This window comes from Homo sapiens, chromosome 3, assembly GCF_000001405.40.
Source record: "Homo sapiens chromosome 3, GRCh38.p14 Primary Assembly".
Taxonomy (NCBI): Eukaryota; Metazoa; Chordata; class Mammalia; order Primates; family Hominidae; genus Homo; species Homo sapiens.
This window is the reverse complement of record NC_000003.12, coordinates 25,335,353-25,353,458: the sequence shown is the minus strand read 5'-3', so window position 1 is coordinate 25,353,458 and position 18,106 is coordinate 25,335,353. Positions and strand designations below refer to the sequence as shown.

General features: G+C 39.6%; 1 protein-coding gene, 1 non-coding gene and 1 pseudogene across 3 annotated transcripts in view; 1 reads left to right on the top strand and 2 right to left on the bottom strand.

Annotated features, from left to right (window-relative positions):
- RARB (retinoic acid receptor beta) overlaps positions 1-18,106 on the bottom strand; it is a 768,612-nt gene that overhangs the window by 244,474 nt on the left and 506,032 nt on the right. Inside the window, exon 1 of one of the 2 annotated variants that reach the window (NM_001290300.2) lies at positions 12,568-12,657. The exons of the other annotated variant lie outside the window; for it this stretch is intronic. Within the exon in view, the coding sequence (NP_001277229.1) occupies positions 12,568-12,595 (28 nt within the window). The 5' untranslated portion in view covers positions 12,596-12,657. Of the gene's footprint in view, positions 1-12,567; positions 12,658-18,106 lie in introns of those variants that run through there. 2 annotated transcript variants of the gene reach the window in all.
- RNA5SP126 (RNA, 5S ribosomal pseudogene 126) lies at positions 1,067-1,175 on the top strand (annotated as a pseudogene).
- Positions 17,401-17,466, bottom strand: LOC124906342 (U7 small nuclear RNA). Its single transcript, XR_007096298.1, has one exon. It is a non-coding gene; the product is annotated as a U7 small nuclear RNA (small nuclear RNA).

The following is an 18,106-nucleotide window of genomic DNA, read 5'->3' as shown; positions in this document are numbered from 1 at the left end:
GAATCTGTATTGATACTGCCAAGCGCAGAAAACAAATCTAAAGGGTCCAGTGTAATGTTTGTCATTGATTCACTCATTCATGATTATGAATTAATTTAAGCAAGTTTCCACTGACACCCTACTACGTGGCAGACTCTATAGTATGGTGATATAAAATTAATTCAGCAGGTTCTGTCCACGAGTGCCACTACAGTACTGTGAGAATTCAGAGCTGGGTTTCTTGCCTCCTGCCATCAACTTAATCACCACTTACCATTGAAAGAGGTGATGAGACAACTAAAAGCCAAACTATAGGAACTCTGTTATCATGGGTCTAAACTTTAAAGTAAAGGCAGCTGTGTGTTGATGATGAAAACATCTCCAAAAGGCAGTTAGAAACTTCACTTGATTTCTGTATTCTAAGTGCCTCACGTATTACTTGGCACATAAGAGGTGCACAACTAGCGTTTGCTCAGAAGATGACTTCTCACTTGGCTTTTCAATGACTTCATAATAGGCAGGATAGTCATGATCATTTATGTTACACAGATGAGAAAAGCCGAGTCTTTGAGAAGTGAATGTCCAAGGACAGTCCAGTTCATACGCTGCAGAGTCACATCTGGAATTCAAGTCTTTTCAGCTCTCAGTTCAGTGTTCTTCCCACTATACACACAGCTCAAGAAGGAAGTGGAAAGTAATGAGTGATGTTACTTATTCCTGAAATGGATGCAGTAAATAATGGAAGAGAAGGTTTGCAAATTTGAGTTGAGCTCTGTTCAGAGCTTCCTAATAATTTTGTCCTGCTGACATGATATAGGTCCATTTTGAGAAAAATGAGCAATAAGCTAATTAGTTAACCAAATTGCAAACAGAAAGTGAGAAAGAAAAAGACAAGAAAAACATTAAGTTTCTTACAAATTGGGGCAGGTTAATACTACAAAAATCTAAGGAGTAATGCTAAAAACAGACTTGCTTGACAAAGAGAAGCCAAGAAAATAAATAACAAATGGTTTTAAACTTGCTTCTGGTAGACTCCCATTATCAGAGGCCTCAAGGCTGTTGCCAAACCCAAGAGAATCTGAGATTGGTGTATGGCCATACCACCATGAATGTGCCCCATCTCATCTGATCTTAGAAGCTAAGCAGGGTTGGCCCTGGTTAGTACTTGGACAGGAGAGAATCTGAGATTGTTTTCCTCTCCTAGTTTTGGAGAGCCAGGGGACAAGTTCATATCAGAAAAGATGGGGATTCAGGTGAAGAGAGAGAGAAAGGAGGCTGGGGTGATGAAAAAGGGAACTGTGTTCACAGTCTTTCATTTAGGTCCCAACATACCCATGGCCTCGCCTTGGTTCACTTTCAGAAGTTCAACTGGGCCACTTCAACGCAGAACTCCAAATTCACTAACTCACAGCTGGTTTTGGGACAGTGCCTTGGAGCAGTGTTTGCATTCAGGGTGCAAACTCACAGGACACTGTTGTTTCTTATTTCGACTTAAAACACATTTGATATTCTAGCATCTCTAGGCCTAGGATCTAAAATGGCTCAGAAAACTCCGACAGCTATAGCATCTTTGAAGAACTTGGTTAAGGTTAGCATAATCAGAAACACTCACATTAGAGCTCTTGGGGAACACTCTTAGCCAGATGGCCTCCTTGTGCAGCCAGACCGGGCTGAGGCTGCTGTGAGTAGAGTAGCCATACTTCAGTGACACAAGCATGAATATGGGTGAGGATGGGGATGGAACAAGGGAAAACAAAAAGACATGGAGGAAAATAACCAGAACACAATCCAACAGAAATATTTAAAATGCTTTTTCAAAGCAATTTTTTTAACCTCTTTTGAAAACGCCCAAGTGTCTTCCGGGCTGGTAAAATGGTTGGAAACCATAGCACTGAGGACCACTTTGCACAGAGCCAGAATAAATGGGTTTCAGATAAAGACTCCATAAATGATAAGAAATAGACTGGGCATTCAAAGGCGAGGTCCCACAAGTGACAGATCTAGGTGACCTGTAACCAAATGAGATGCAAGCACATAATATTCATTAAGAAAATCCGATTTTTCTGTGATCGATAAACAATCAAAGGAGTGCAGGGACAGGAGGATGAGCACAAATGAGGATTCTAACAAATTATACCGAATTTTCAAAGGGATGCTATAGAAAAAAAGAAAAAATATATGGATTAGTAGAAAGCAAACCAGAGAGAAAAAGAAAAGAAAGAAAGAAAAAGAAAGCAAGCCAGCAAGCCTGCCCGCCCCTCTCCATCAAGTGAAAGACAGAATATAATGAAAAACTACCTGGTTAAGCCTCTTTTTAGGCATGAATAGCTAATGCTCACTAACCAGTCTTAGCAAGGATAAGGATATCCAAGTTTTAATTGGAAATAATATAGCGCTGCACCAGATGCTTATTCCTTAAAACTAAGACGTTAGATAAAGCCAGGTTCATGTTTCTCCTACCTCTGTGTTCGGAAACGGGAGCACAAAGCCTAATTGGCCAAATAAAGGAACTGGAGGCTCTACAGAAAAAGCCTCTAACCCCATGATTGATGTCCATTGACACCTCCAAACAATGACACCATGGGAACTGGCAGAGGGTACACCCCATATGCAACAAGGGGACATGCAGCCCAGGCTCTACAGAGAGAGACAAACCTCAGCCATAGCCCCTGCATCATAGCAGCTTATTTTGAAGTTGTCATGTCTGCGTATTCTCATATGCAGATTCTCAGTTATGAAATTTATATAATCATTCATGCAATAAATATTTATGAGGAGCTTTCTATGTGCCAGGCACTCTCGATGCTGGGCACCCAGCGTAGAGCAAAAGAGACCGAGTGTCTTCCCCTGGGAGTTTTACATTTGACTGGAGGGAAACAGACAATAACCAAGTAAACAACTACTTAATAAAGCATTAGGCAGTGGTGAGTGCTATGAAGAAAAAAGGAGGCAGGATAAGGGGAGATAAAGTAGCTAGAAGAGTGTTTGGGCAGAAAGTTAATAGAGATGCCTATTCAGCAGACACATGTCCTTGCACTCCAACAATTCCCTCTCAACTAAAGTCAAAGCCACTATTCCCTCTTTGGGAAGCACTATTGTTCATCCTGAGATTAACAACCTGCCTCTGTTTATGCTGAGCTGGCCTGATTGTGGTATGGAATGCAAAGAGCTCCGAAACAGTAGGGAGTGGAAAATCCAGCATCATCATGACTTCAGTAGGCGGTTGCTTTGGTGGGCTCCAAAGACCCACACTTGCTGGTGTCCATGCCCCTGTGTCTACTGTCTCCTTGAGTTTGGGCTGGCTTTGTGACTCATTTTAACCAGCAGAATGTAATGGAAGCAATGATGGGCCAGTTCCAAGCTTAAGCCTACAGAAAGTCTGGTAGTTTCTGCTTTTACATGCTGGGTACAGCCAGGCACCTTGTAAGAAGCCCTACTACCCCGAGACCAACCTGCTGTGAGAAGCCCAATCCAGTCATGTGGTGAGACCACAGAGAGGAAAACCAAGGCCCCAGCCAACAGCTCCAGTACCAACTTGTCAATCAAAGTGAGTGAAGCCCATTTGGAAATAGACTGTTCTGGCTTAGCTGAGCCACCCTAGCTGACCCTACACAGAGCAGAGTCCTACCAAGAATGGTGCAAATTGTAGACTCATGAGCAAAGAAACAGAAGGGTTGTTTTAAGCCACTGAATGTTGGGGGTAGTTTTGTTACTCAGCAATAATTATTGAAAAAAAATGACTTTCAATTTCAAAATTAAAAGACACAAAACACATAGAACTTTTAAATGTACAACTTTGGTTTAAATTTTTTTTTGTTTGTTTAGAATTTTTTGTTGGCTGTCTGTGCTTTTGATTGTAAAATATCTCATTTGAGGACATGAATTGCTGGATCTCAAATACAGGAAAAATACGTTCTGATTTAAGGCTTAAAAGTAGAGATGCCTGGATTAGGAGGACAATATGTTTCTGCTGACCTATTCATCTTACATGGGCCAAACTTAACGTCCTGCCATAATTCTGTAAGTAGGAAGTTGAACTAGAATTGACCTCAGTTAGCATTTCCCAACGCAAGTGACAATACCCACCCTGGAATTTCTGACAACACTATCAACCTCATACAGCAGCCACATGCTGGCCATCCTCGAAAAGTGCTGGCAACAAAGTCTTGTTCAAACAGACGGACAAATCTGCCTAGTTTTATGCAAAGGAAAAGGAAAAGCAAAGCAATTAATTCACCCTGGGGAAACATGCTGAGGGCATGAATTTACCAGGTAGTGCAAGTCACTGTCAGCTGCATTCACAAAGAGGATGCACCATCCTTCCCCTGTCCTCTGAGCCCTTTCCGCCTTCATTGGGGGAAGGGTAACGGATAGTGTGGAGTGGATGGAAGGGAAATGTAGGACATGAATGGGTAATATAAACTGGAATGTAAAGGGAACATTACTTCTTGATGGCATTGATCCTAACGAGATTTGTATTATATATACCAAAGATCTGGGGGAGAATGCAACCTGGGGAGTCTTCAAGATGCTCTACTGCAGTGTTTCTGAAAGTGTGGTCCCTAAGTCCAGCAGCATAGGCTTCATATGGAAACTCATCAGAAATGCAAATCCTTGGGTCCTACCCCAGACCGACTTAATCAGAAACTTTGGGAGTTACAAACCCTCCAGTTGGCTTGGATGCGTACTCAAGTTTGGGAACCACTAAATGTGTTGAAATTCAGGGAGAAAAGATTAGAACTTCTGTTTTTAATTTTTAGAAAAAACGTTAAGATTTACTGACATTTAAATTTACTAACATTTAACATTAACTCTTGTGTTCTTATCTGCTCTGTAAGTTGTGGGTCATGTGTCATGTGCAATTTCCACAACCCAAAGGACTTGCAATTATTATCCCTACTTGTTCATTCACTTTCAGCTTGCAGTATTTTTTACTTAAACCCACTGGTGGATTTACAAATTATATTACCCACTTTTAATTTCACTAACCTGTCTCAAATGGCCAAGCGGCTTGATTCCTGCAAAGAAGCCAACAAGCCTAAGCAAATAAGAAAATGGGCAGAGCTGACACTTTTATAATCTCTTCCGAATCACACCACCACATTGCTCCCACTATAGTTATTATTGCAAATATTTTAGTGAGTACCAAAATAAATTTTTATTTAAGATAATAAAATTTAAAATATCTAAGCAATTATTTCATTTTATGTTTTAGTTTTATATATCTGTTTTTATATAGTTTAAAAGAAACCTGAGGCTTATGAGGAAACTGAGGTTCAGTGGGGTTACCTAAATTTGTCAAAAATGTAAGGCCAAGATTTAAACTCTGGAACTCTGCTGGATCTCACAGCCTGTTGCTATCAGCTGTGTGGTGTATTAGCCCATGAAGCCTATGAAGATCATTATGGAAGATATAGGTTGGCCACACAAGACTGGAACAGGTGAAAAATGTGCATTAATCAGTACGTTTGCAATGATTCTGGGAAGACAGGGCCAGTATTGCCCTCAAGGAATCTAGACTAATTGGAAGTAGTAAGGACAGATCAGATAAACTTTCCTGAGTAGAGTCTTCTGTGATATTACCAGGGCTGTACATACTCCTGCAACATCACCAGTGCTGGAAGTGCTCTGCGTTATCACCAGTGCTGGGATTTGCCATGTGTCTTGCAGGCAATGATGAACATGTGTGAATGATTGGAGTTTCATTGCATTCACTCTTCCGCCTGTCACATTGATTCCCTTCTTCATAAAATACAAATCCTGAAAACTGGTATGGATTTAAATAGCATGAGCTTTCGGGCCCTTTGCTAATTTTACAAAATGTCTAAACCTGAAGTTTCTGGTACCATGATACCTTTCCATGCCTTTTGGCTGCTAACTTGGGCTCCTTTGTCACTGCGTTTGGAAAAATAAGTTTGCACAAAGTGAACTTTATAAGAAAGTAATAATAAGATAGAGAAAACTTCATTTAAAAATCTAAGGGTGCCTAAAGGCAATTTTCTTTGTTATATATAATTGATAATTTTTGTAGAACACTATCATCAAATACAGCTTTTAGGTGAGTGGCAATGACTACCTTTTGATGGGATATACCATAGCTCAGGACTGCCAGCTCTACCTTGTCATAGGCTGGATAGCTGGTCAAGTCCGCCATGAAGGGTGGAAAGCCTCATCCATTTTTCACTTACGTTACTGAATTTGCATTCCACATTGCATCATTTCAGAACTCCCTTACACCTTAGTAATTTCATCAGATCCAACCAGCATGAAGCCAGTCAGCCAGCCAGCTCTAGATATACCTAATTGTTCAATTTCTTAGAGTCTGCATGTGGACAGCTAAACCTTGCTGGGGGAAAATCCATGGTGTCAGTTTTACCACCTGGTAATCTGGTATGTTTTCCCGGTCAACCTACTCCTTCATTCTCAACCACCACAGTTTTAAAGCTTCCCTCTTCTGAAACCTATATTCCCAATGCTTTCTCTTCACAACACTCGTTAGAGTTTGTATACCTACATGGAAGACTACTCATGAACAATCCTCTTACTAACTTGACTATAGCCTATGAGGGCAGACCTAATATCAATTTTGCTCACCAGAGCCTCCTTTTGGGGGCCTGGCACAGGGTAGATCCCCCAATAGGCCCTCAAAAATTGAGGGTTTGCTGTTTGATGCGAGATGAGTAGCTGCTTTCAAAACTTGACCAGTGGGCCATGTCCCCCTCCCAACTGCCAGCAAGTCTTGTAGGGGGCCTCAAACAGCCTTGTCCAAACAGCTATGTCAAAACATCCTGTGTTGACGGAGGCAGCAATCAGCCACTTCGAGCTTCCTGATTAATTGGTGAGAGACAATCAGGGCACATTCTGCAGTGGCTGCACAGTTTAAGTGATGTCCCACATCAGCCATGGGATGAAGTTTCTAAGGGCAAAATTGCCAGGGACTGGTGAGCTCATCTGAGACATACAGGAAACAGGGAGTAGAGATAAAAAGCAATAAATTCAATAAAAATGTTAATTTGTTTAGCCATCAATTTTTAATCATTTGACCACCTAATTAATTAATTAGTTTTGTTTGGACTGTAGTTCCTTCCTGAAAGCATTTGGGGCTGATGACTATAAAAGACACAAATACAATAACCCTAAAGGTTATTAAAAATAAGTCAGGAGAAATGTTGGCTTTCACTTTACTCCCTGTCTCAAGAAAATTCAGGCAACCAAGCTAGAGGATGTTGACCCTGGGGATGCTCTAATAAGATCCAGATTAAGGAAATGGCAAAAAAGAATTTAGAGACATGGAGAGATTAAAAATAAACGGAAAAGGTATGGAAGTTGTATCTGAATAAGGACAAGACTGAGAGACTACATGGAGAGAGGCCTCAGCTGTCCTTGCTTTGGCCATCCTAGACCAGAGTGTTCACAACTAACCCACCACAGATGCATGAGTGAACCCAGCGGCGATCAGTCAACCGCAGCCCGGGTCAGAAGAACTACTCATCGGAGCCAGCCCCAAACTGCAGACTTTGTAGAATCATGAACTAAACTAAATGGTGGTTTAAACATTTTTCTCTCTTTTTTTAAACTGACATGTGATAATTATACATATTTAGTGGTGGTTGTTTTAAGAAATGAATTTTGGAGGTGTCTCTTAGGTAGCAAAAATTAACTGATACAGTTCATTTCATGCACAATCACTCTGAGAAACTTATTTACTTCAATCTTCAGCTTTACAGGATTAACGATTAACAATATCTTTTTAGCTTTTCCTAAATTCCACTTAAATTTAGTCCTTTGATGAATTTTTTTTTTTTTTTTTTTTTTGAGACGGAGTCTCACTCTGTCACCCAGGCTGGAGTGCAGTGGCACGATCTCGGCTCACTGCAACCTCCACCTCTTGGGTTCAAGCAATTCTCCTGCCTCAGCCTCCCGAGTAGCTAGGACTACAGGCATGCACCACCACACCCGGCTAATTTTTGTATTTTTAGTAGAGACAGAGTTTCACCATATTGGCCAGGCTGGTCTCAAACTCCTGACCTTGTGATCCACCCACCTCAGCCTCCCAAAGTGCTGGGATTACAGGCGTGAGCCACCATGCCCAGCCAGATGAATTGCTTATAGTTTAACTCTATTTGCCAATATTATGATTATTGGGCACAACAGCCGAAAAGGAAAAATAAAGTGCTATGAATTTCTGCTCAGCAGCCTCAGTTGCTTCTTTTTCATGGAAAAAACAAACAAACAAACAAAAAACCCAAACCAAAAAACCTCCAGAGGTTACATTTGACTCTTACAGCACTGAACTCAGCTTTTGTGAGTTTGGGTTGAGAACACTTTTTCTCTTTAGGACCCTGAGTCTGGGCTTGACCTAGAAAATCAACACCCACAGATATTTTCTACAAGGCGGTAAGTCAAACAATCCAAACTTCAGCATGTCTGCTCTCTCATTTTAAGACAGTCTTTGTTTGTAAACCAAAAAAACAAGCATAAAGAGAAAAAAGAAAATGCTTAAGACCATAAATGTATACTTTAACTTACAAACATGCCAAATACTTTTCAGAGACCGTGCATGAGAATGACAATTTAAGCTTAAGCCCTAAAAACTTTCCACTCTCTCTAGCTCCCACATGTGTATAAAAGGTTTAAATGAACAAGAAAAACATGCTGGGATTAGGATTTGATTCCAAAAAGCTTTTATAGTTATATAGAATGACCAGGAGTTACACTAGCTTCAAAAGACACACCAAATAAAAACTGATTTTTATCAAATAGTGTTAATACTTTACAGACCAAAGTTGTTTTCACAAAGTATTCCCATAATGAGGAGCTTGCCAAGCTGTGTCAATGTTCATGGCTTTAGGGGTCCCATCTTGGAACTTTCAAATTCAGTCAAAAGGAAAAAACATGTGTTTGTCTTTTTGTGCTTTAAAATTTGTCAACAAATACCAAACTGAGCACTTCTGAAACATGAATTGTAGGCCCATTCCTGACTCAGTTTACCACTGACACAATGATCATTAGGCATACCGCAGTAGAGTGTGGCAGATGCATTTTGATAAGTTATTTTGTTAATTAGCTCAACCACTTACCAATCTCTCAGACATAAACACTACTTAGAAATTAATTGCTCTTAATTTGTTAGTATGAAAACTTGCCTAAGATTCTCAGGGACCTCAGACAAAAATTAATAAACATAACTTTTTAAAAAAACAAAGCACCAAATTTTTTCATACGTATGATGTGACTATCTTCTTGAAATAACTCAAAAGTTCTCCAGCAACTTAGCTTGTAACTCATTTCAAATAAGATTGCATGAAAGAAGAAATGAAGAGTTTAATATGCCCCATCACCCCTGAGGCAATTAGTTTGGAGAAGTGACACAAGTCATTTAAAGAAAGTTTCTGGAGTACATTGCCAGGCTCCTGATCCTTAGCCTAACACTTCTGCCGACATAAATTCTTTGGTCTCCATTTGCCAAATGGATATGCCACACATTTAGAGACCATGATGGCAGGCATCAAACTACACTTTCCTGTCATAATTTCTGGGTCTTTTTGTCTGCTTCAATTTCCCTTTTTCTGAGCTGCCATCCTCTTTCCTTTTAGTTCCTTCTTCACCAAGGCCCTTGTATTTTCCTCATGACAAGACTTACGATCGAAAACAGCAGCTCCCAAACTTTGCCACACCTGAACATGTATTAATAATTAGATAATCATTATTCCCTGATTTTTTTGTCCTGGAATCCTTTTGGGGTTACATAGTTAAATACGGACTTGAAGAGTAACAAACCATATACCTCTTAGAAAGATACAACATACATTAGTGTATCAAACACTGTAACTATTTAATCCAATATTGCTCAAATTAAAGAATGTATTTATTTTAAGGAACTGGGTTCTGTGGAACATAAATTTGGGAAAATTTCCTTTTCCAATTTTTTTTTCTGGAAAAAAGTTTTTCTTAAGCATTTTGGCTAACTCAGGGCTTCATGTTCTATTCAAAATATAGGAAATACTGCTTGTAAAAAAAAAAGCCAGAAATGAGGGAAAGAAATGAAATTAATCTCCTCCAGACTTCAATTACATCTCTTCTTTTTTACAACTATGCATTAAAGACAAAGGGGGAGAAAACTGTAAGTGTTTAATTGGGAAAATATTGACTGATAATATGCTATAGGCATGGCACTCTTCTGGGACCAGAGAAACTGAGAGCAACAAGACATGGTTCTTACCTCCAAGATTCTCATAGCCTAGAGTAGAAGAGCAGAGAGAAGAGCAGAAGATGGTAGAAGTGCTTTGAAACCTGTATCCACAAGAGTTTGTAGAGTAGCCACTTTGTGTTCAGGTCTTTCCCTCCATGCAGAACCTTTAAAACTGCACCTAAAACCCTCATATTCTAACTACTGCCTCAGCATTACACACACACACACACACACACACACACACACACACACACACACACACAAAGTACTTGCAAAATGTAAACAGGAAATCAGCCACACTGTGTTATGAATACTTTTCCCCTCCCCCCTCTTAAACCATGAGCTCTGGCATCTCTTTTTCTGATACTCACCACAAAGCAGCACTGGGCTCCATCACAAATCTTTCAAGGCTACAACCTCTACCACTTTAGATCCTTCTATTTTCTTTGTACTTCAGATGAGATTAAGCCCAGGCCAAGCTGTGCTACCTACCGTCTCTGTTTCTGCTTTTGCATCATTAAAAAGACCATGAAAAAAAGATTAGCTACCAAGGCAGAAAAATGTATCATAGGTAGGGCTGCGTTCAGCTGCAGGTAAGAGAAAACCTAATTACAGTGGCTTAAATAGAGGTGGGTTATACTTTTCTCATTTAATAATTAGTGCAGGCATAGGCAGTTTGCTGATATTGGGTCCAACCAGGAATAAAAAAAAGAAGGTTGGTACTTGTTTTGCCTCTCCTTTTTAACAGAAAAGCAAAAGCTTTCCCAGAAATCCTGTCTCAGCAGATCTGCTTTTTATCCTGTTGACCAAAATGGTGTCATACGGCTGTAAGAGAGAATGGGAAAGTGAGACTGAATGGCTGTCCTAGCAGCCGATGAAGATTCTTTGCCACAAGATCAATCCTGGTTCAACTCCCAGAGATTTTTTGAAAGGGTTGGCATCCAAGTTCCTTTAGTGATAAAGAACTAAAATGCTGAAATACTGCAATAAGTCTATAAATTAAAAATGTTATACATAGAGTTTATTAGTTCTACCTTCCCTTCATACTGTGACTAAACTCATCACTTTCTTGAACTGAAATGGAGAAATCCAAGATCACTGGTCAAACTTCACGTGATTCCTGAAACTGCAGTCTGCTTAACAACTTGAGTATCTCTTTTTCTTATTTTTCCATATTAGTTATTTCTTGATGGATTCATTCATTCAGTAAATATTTATTGAGGATCTACTATGTGTCAAGCATTGTAATAGGTGCTACAATACAATGGGGAACAAGATACATACATTTCTTCTTCTACGAAGTGTTGTTTTAGTGGAAGAGACAGATACAATGTATTTAATTATAATTGTGATACATGCTATGTAGGGAAAGAACAAAGTAAAATGAGGATATTACAGGAAATTAGCGTAGTTTGAGGTGTGTCAGGAAAAGCTTTCCCAAGGCTCAACGAAACCAGGGCCTCTCTGCCTCAGCACTTTTGACATTTTGGGTCAGACAATTCTTTGTTATGGGGGGCTGTTTTGCTCATAGTGGGAGGTTTAGTGGCATCCCTTGACCTCTACCCACTAGATACCGGTGGCTTTCCCCTTCCAGTTGTGACAACCAAAAGTAGTTCTAAACATAGTCAAATATCCCTGGGGGCAAAATTATCCCCAGTTGAGAACTACTGATTTAAATAAAGACTTGGAAGATGAATAGGAGAGTCAGTCACACCACAGAGAGAAGTCATCAATTCCTGTCCATCTTTCACCCCAACCCTTCCTTTGGTAAACTTTTAAGCCCTCTTGCTTTATTCAAAGAGCTTTAAAACCTCTTCTAGGAAGTCTTTGCTGAAGACAAAATAGGTGGCAAATTCTCTCTGGCTCTCACCCTGAATAAACCATGAGTTCCACAACCTTTTTCTACTCAGTATTTCACAATGTCTGGAAACATATATAATGCTATTTCACTTTTTCACAGATGGAAGATGTCCTTGGTGATCTTATGTATATTCACCTATGTTTCCAGACTTTATGGACAGCCTCTGTACTTCTTTCTTTTGAGCACTCCAGAGACAAGTATTAAAGGTCTGCTTCATGCCAGGCACGGTCTTAGATGCCACAGTTTAGATATGAGTAACAGAAGACTTTTGGTCTCCAAGAACTCATCGTATTGCTTTGCTCAGGTACAACACAGAAGAAGCTGTAGAGGCAAAGTTGAGTGTTCAGTTAATTATGTTCTGCTGGCTGCATGTCCTTTCCAATGAACACAGATTGAGAGGCAAAGACAACGCCTATTTAGCTCACAATTCAGCACCTAGGAGGTTATACAGAAAATATCTGCAGAAGATTTGATTGATAATCCTGATATAAAATGATTAATGAGAATGATTCTGTACTCACTCAGATAACCTCACCTGGAAAGGCAATTCTACTCAGCTTCATTCCTCATAATTATTTGCTGAATAAATTGAGACTTGATTTTCATTTGCTTCAAGCTCTGTCAATGGCTTCTCCAAAGCGAGATCCTCCCTAAAATTCCTTGCCAGGCTTTGACCTACTTCCTTCTTGTTCTCCAGACAGAGCTTCCCCCTAAAATCTCTCTTGTTTTTCACCTGTCTAGCCAAATCAACTGCCAAGAATAGGAATGCTGAAGTGAGGCAAAGTATTTATTTCCTGCTTTGTAGAGCCAGATACTTTAAATGGAGAAAAAAAGTCCTCACTTGCTTCTAAGTAATGTTTTGTTTTGGTCAGAGCCACACATTAATTCACATGTCCATGCTGCTTGTAAAATAAAACCAGAGGCATAAGAACTGATAAGAATACGCATTCCTATTTCCTCTCTCTACAAAAGAAAGCCTGATGGTGGTGGCTCATCACTTGTGAACAATGGACTCAAAATTTTAAAGAAAACAGGGCTTAGCATGAAGGGATGGTTATATCTAGTCCTCACATAAATGGGAAATTGAACTTACATTCCATGGAGGCAGAAGCAACTCACTAGGGAAGCTTCCTACAGAAACAAAAATTATTAAAACAACATGATGAGGTAAGTATAGAAGTACAATAAAGTCACCTGTTTTTTTTCCATTAGTCTTTCAGAGTCCTTTGTAGTCAGCCCAGTGCAGTGACTGATGAGCACCAAACTCCTCATTCTTCTTGAAAGGGAGAAACATGTCAGCAGGTCTCTGCATTTTACTATCAGTGATGTTCATCCCACGTGTTCTCCTTCGCTTTACATGCTCTGTACCAATAGCTAGTAGGCTGCAGTCTTCTTTTTCATATGTCCATGGCAGGGTCTTTAAACCAATTCAGGACCTTCTGCATGGCTCAAACTTGGGTCACCTCCACAGTAGGCCTCTTACTTATTTTTTAGAAATTGTTTAAATTGCAATATAAAAACTGCAGCCAGAGTTGTGCAAGTTTTATGCAGTTTTGTGGAAACTGTTGAGGATGATCTTTTCCCAGAAAATGAATAGGTTTCCAAGCATTGCAGTATATGTGATTAGTTGAGCCCAGTCTTCAGACCTTCTCTGGAGGTACAATGCTATGGCTCCTGGGAATGTAATACAGTTGACTCTTAACATCCAAACCACGGCTATAACACAGGATCCAAGAGAGCAAGATCCCTGTGCCTTTGTGGGTGTATGTGTTAAAACCAGAATGCCTTTTTTTGGGGGAAATGCTCTCAAATTAGGCAAACAGTGTGATTAAAAAAAAAAAAAAACTTCAGCTGAATTAAATTTAATGGAATTTAATTGAGAAACAAACGATTTGCGATTCCAGCAGCCTCCTGAGTCAGAGTAGACTCAGAGACTCCCGCGCAGCCACGTGGTGGAAGATTTATGGACAGAAAAAGGAAAGTGACGTTCCGAAAACAGAAGTGAGGTACAGAAAGCGTTGAATTGGTTACAGCTCAGTGTTTGCCCTACTTGAACATGGTTCAAACAGCTGGCTACATTTGACTGGCCAAACTCAGTGACTGGCACAAGTGAGGCTACAGAGTATTTACACTTCCAGTTGTTATACTTCACGATGTACAGAGAAACCTTCAGGCCAAACTTAAAATATGGAAGGAGGCAGCTTTAGGCTAAACTTCATTTAGCAAGTGAGGTTTGTTTCGGTAGGACAAGGCAATACAATTTGATCCTGGGAGACTTCTCCTTTAAGGGTGTTTCAAAACAATTTAATATTTTCAGATTATGTGACTTCCATTTCTGTTAAGCTAGTCTTGAATTTATTATGAAGTAAAGAACATAGACCTTTCAAGTGCAAGTTTTATTGCTATTACAGTCTCAGGTGAGGTGATAATCAAATATTTATTATATGGAAAGTAGTGAGCACTACTACTCAGAATGGATCTCAACTGTTCTCTCAGAGACCCGATTTTGAAGGCCCCCTGCTGTGCCAAGTGCTAACCTTTGAGTGGTGATTTTGGGAAGGTCTGGTGTGGTGACCCTGGTGAGGAAAGGCTCAGGGTAGTGGCCACTTACCAAGGACTACACAAATATTTCAGTATTTTAATAACCATTAGAGTTGTATTAGTGCAAACTGATGAATGTCAGCCTTTCCTGTATAAAATTAAATAGATAAGTGAATGAACAAATGACTTAAACTCTTATGAAGAAGCAACATGACCTGAGTCTTCCAGAAACCCACAGAAGCTTGTGCAGATGAGTTTGGTTTGCTGAATCTTTTCTTTTGAACTTCCCTATGGTTAAAAGGGAGGTTCCTAGCAGGCTGGCAGCTGCCTTTTGGCTAGATGTCAAAGTAACTAGAGAGTGTAAATGATTCCAGCCAAACCATCAATAATTGACAGTGGGTAATTCAGTACATAGACTCTCCAGCCGCCTATCTACAAAGGTGGCAAAGAGAATGTCTCTCTGTTTCTCTTCACCCATTCAATTTAGACAACAGCCCACCCTTCAATAATGCCACACATTCCAATCATGAAAAACAAATGGTGTGACAATAGCCAGAGGACTTTCAGAGCAGAGCATCCCTTTTGTAAATACAGCCTCTAGATACTATCTCTTGCTCTCCCATGGGATGCCTGCTGCAAAAGAGGCTGAAATGCAATGGATTAGGAAATTAGGGCTTTTATGGTCTAAGTGACCAAAATGTAGCTCATGAGTTTCAGAAAACTTTTATGTCTTGGTACTTTGCTTAATTCTGTGTGTGTGTGTGTGTGTGTGTGTGTGTGTGTGTGTGTTGGGGGTTTGGAGGGGGGTGACATACACATGCTTCAATGCTCAATAACGGTGATTTTATTGTGAAACCTGTGGTTCAGTGAAAGATATAGTGTTGAATGTTTGTAGAGATAAATTACAGTTTTTAGATCTAATTGACCTACGCTTTTGATTATTCTGTCTAGGTAAACTTAGTTCAACTAAATTCATTAATTTATTAATCCAACAAATATTTATTGAGTATCCACTCTAAATCACCTACTCTTCTAAGGCTCTGGGGATGTAGACAGGGAAGAGGGCAAACAAGAAACGTATACTCCTGGAATGTACATTCTAGGGCAAAAAAGGTATTTATAATTTCAGGTAATAGTGCTGCACACAAAAAAATAAAGCAGGGTAAAGGGTTAGAGGTGGCTGAGGGTATCTTAATGAGGGTGATCATGGAAAGCCTTTGTAAGGAGGTGGTGTCTGAAGAAGTAATTGAAAAATATGAGGGGAAGAGCCACGTAAAGATTTGGTGGAAGAACATTTCAGGCAGAGAGAACAATAAAAGCAAAAGCCTTGAGATGGGAATGATGTCGATGCATTTCAGACACATTAAGAAGTTGACTGTCCTGAGTAGAATGAATGAGGGTGCAAATGTAGAAAGTGAGGCTAAATGTAGCTATTGGTAAAGCCCTGTAAGATGAGGTCTTCTGACACATTGAGGGAACTTTTCAAATAAATGCTGTAGATTCTCTCTGAATTACTAAGAGCTTCCTAAATTAACTATAATGGTTGTGATTAGGATTCTGAATTGGAGAATCATGTTTATACATACAATACTTTTTAAATTATTGTTGATCCATGGAATATTTTGCCTTGCTATTCTGTAGTGAATGTATTCTAACTTTTTTGTGGGGGTGGGGGTTGGTAAGAAAAAGGATGGTGGTAATAGTGGTTGACATATCCATAGATGAGCAAAATGTACATTTCTTGTTCCTGCCTCTTCTAATTTAGTACATGGCCTCAAATCTCTCACTTTTCAGGGGCATCCCATTCTGATGCTGAGATCTAATGGAGTTTAGCTCTACTAGAAAGTAATTTCTGTGAGGGCAGCGACTTGTTCATCACTGCATCCATGGCGATTTATAAATAATTATTGAACTCGTCCACACACTCTGCCCAGCTTCATTTACTTCCTTGTCCTTTATCTTTCCTCCCTTAAGCCTCAGAGTAGGACCCTGTTCTGAGAGGAGCACAGCAGGACACTCTGGGTCTCCCAAGTGAGCCGTTCTACAGCGTCAATCACTCTCTCATCCTGAACATAATGTGATACAGACCATTTCTTGGAAAAACCCCAATTCTCCCGGTATTGCTTGGCCACATTAACCTTTAGGTAATTGGCACTAAACCTAGGATTAGTTCAGTGGAATTCCAGCTAATGAGAGAGGTGGCCATAAATGTCCAAATGTCATTGTTGAGAATTTGTTTCAAGTACCATATGTTGTTGGGCAGAGAGGAAGGAACATCCCTCCTTATCCCGCTCCAAAGCTGAAATACTTATAAGCATTTAACCTCAAAGAAGAATTGGGCCAGGAAGTTGTGTTACAGAGAAGTCTAACGTTTGATTTTTGCCCACAAGAGGTTTAAAATCTACTAAGGAATAATGACAATAAGAAGCCATTAAACAAATACTAAATGAATAAAATACATTTTATTAACAAGTGCCTTGAACTCTAAAAGCACCTAAAATATTAGAAAATAGTAAGTACTGAAGTTATCTGTGGAATTTAATTGTGTTATTTATCTTGAGGCTATTATTACTTATTTTTAAAGCATGTATGTCATTCTCATAATAGACTATATCTCTAAAAGAAAAGGTGTAAGAAAGAAAAACTACTAAATCTCTGAACTCTAGGAGAGTGACTTCTCTTAGCATTTTGGTTTATATTCTTCCAGTTGTCTTTATTTTTCTCTTCTTACATAGATAAGATCATATGGAATACATAATTTTATTTCCTTTTTTCCTCTTAAGATCACAGCATGCTTTGAATGTTTTTTTTTTTTTCCCTCCCCAGTGGGGGTGTCTTCTGGTGAAAACTGAAAAAAACCTATTAGGAAAATTCTAAAAGAACTCTAACACTTGTTATATATGTTTTAAAAACCTGTGTTTTAGAGGATGGATAATACTCAAATAAATGAACATTTATTAATGAGACTTTGAAAGTTTATGTATGGCTATACTACTAAATTATTTCCCCATTTAAATGCTTTACATGTTCTCCTGTATTTTCCTGTGGACTGTTCCCTGGCCACATAGGTGACAAAATATCAGTACAAGAAGAGAATATAGCAGAGATCATAATAGATGAGGTTGTCAGAGGCAGAAACAGAGTCTCCCTGTCCACTCTTGCAGAAAGTAAATGTGAAATTCTGGCAATTTGGTTGGGTTATTTGGTCTCCAGCAAGGCCCCTCTCAGGAAGTGAACTCACAGTGGCCTTTCAGTTGACAGCCAGAAGATGGGGTGAATGCTGTTAGCAGTTACCCTAGGGCAGAAAATTTAAGAGGTGACTGCACAATGGAACTGGGGAAGCCAAGAGAAGGTAATGAGGTGCCAAACCTGGCCTGATATGCACAAGGCAGGAGACAGAAGCCAATAAAATACATGCCAACATGCCGGGCCACAGAGGTCTCTCACACAGTGGATTGCTTCTGCAAAGCTTTTCAGTTCATAATCAGTGCCCTGCAACTGACAATTATTTTTATCCAAGAATTAATTTTTAA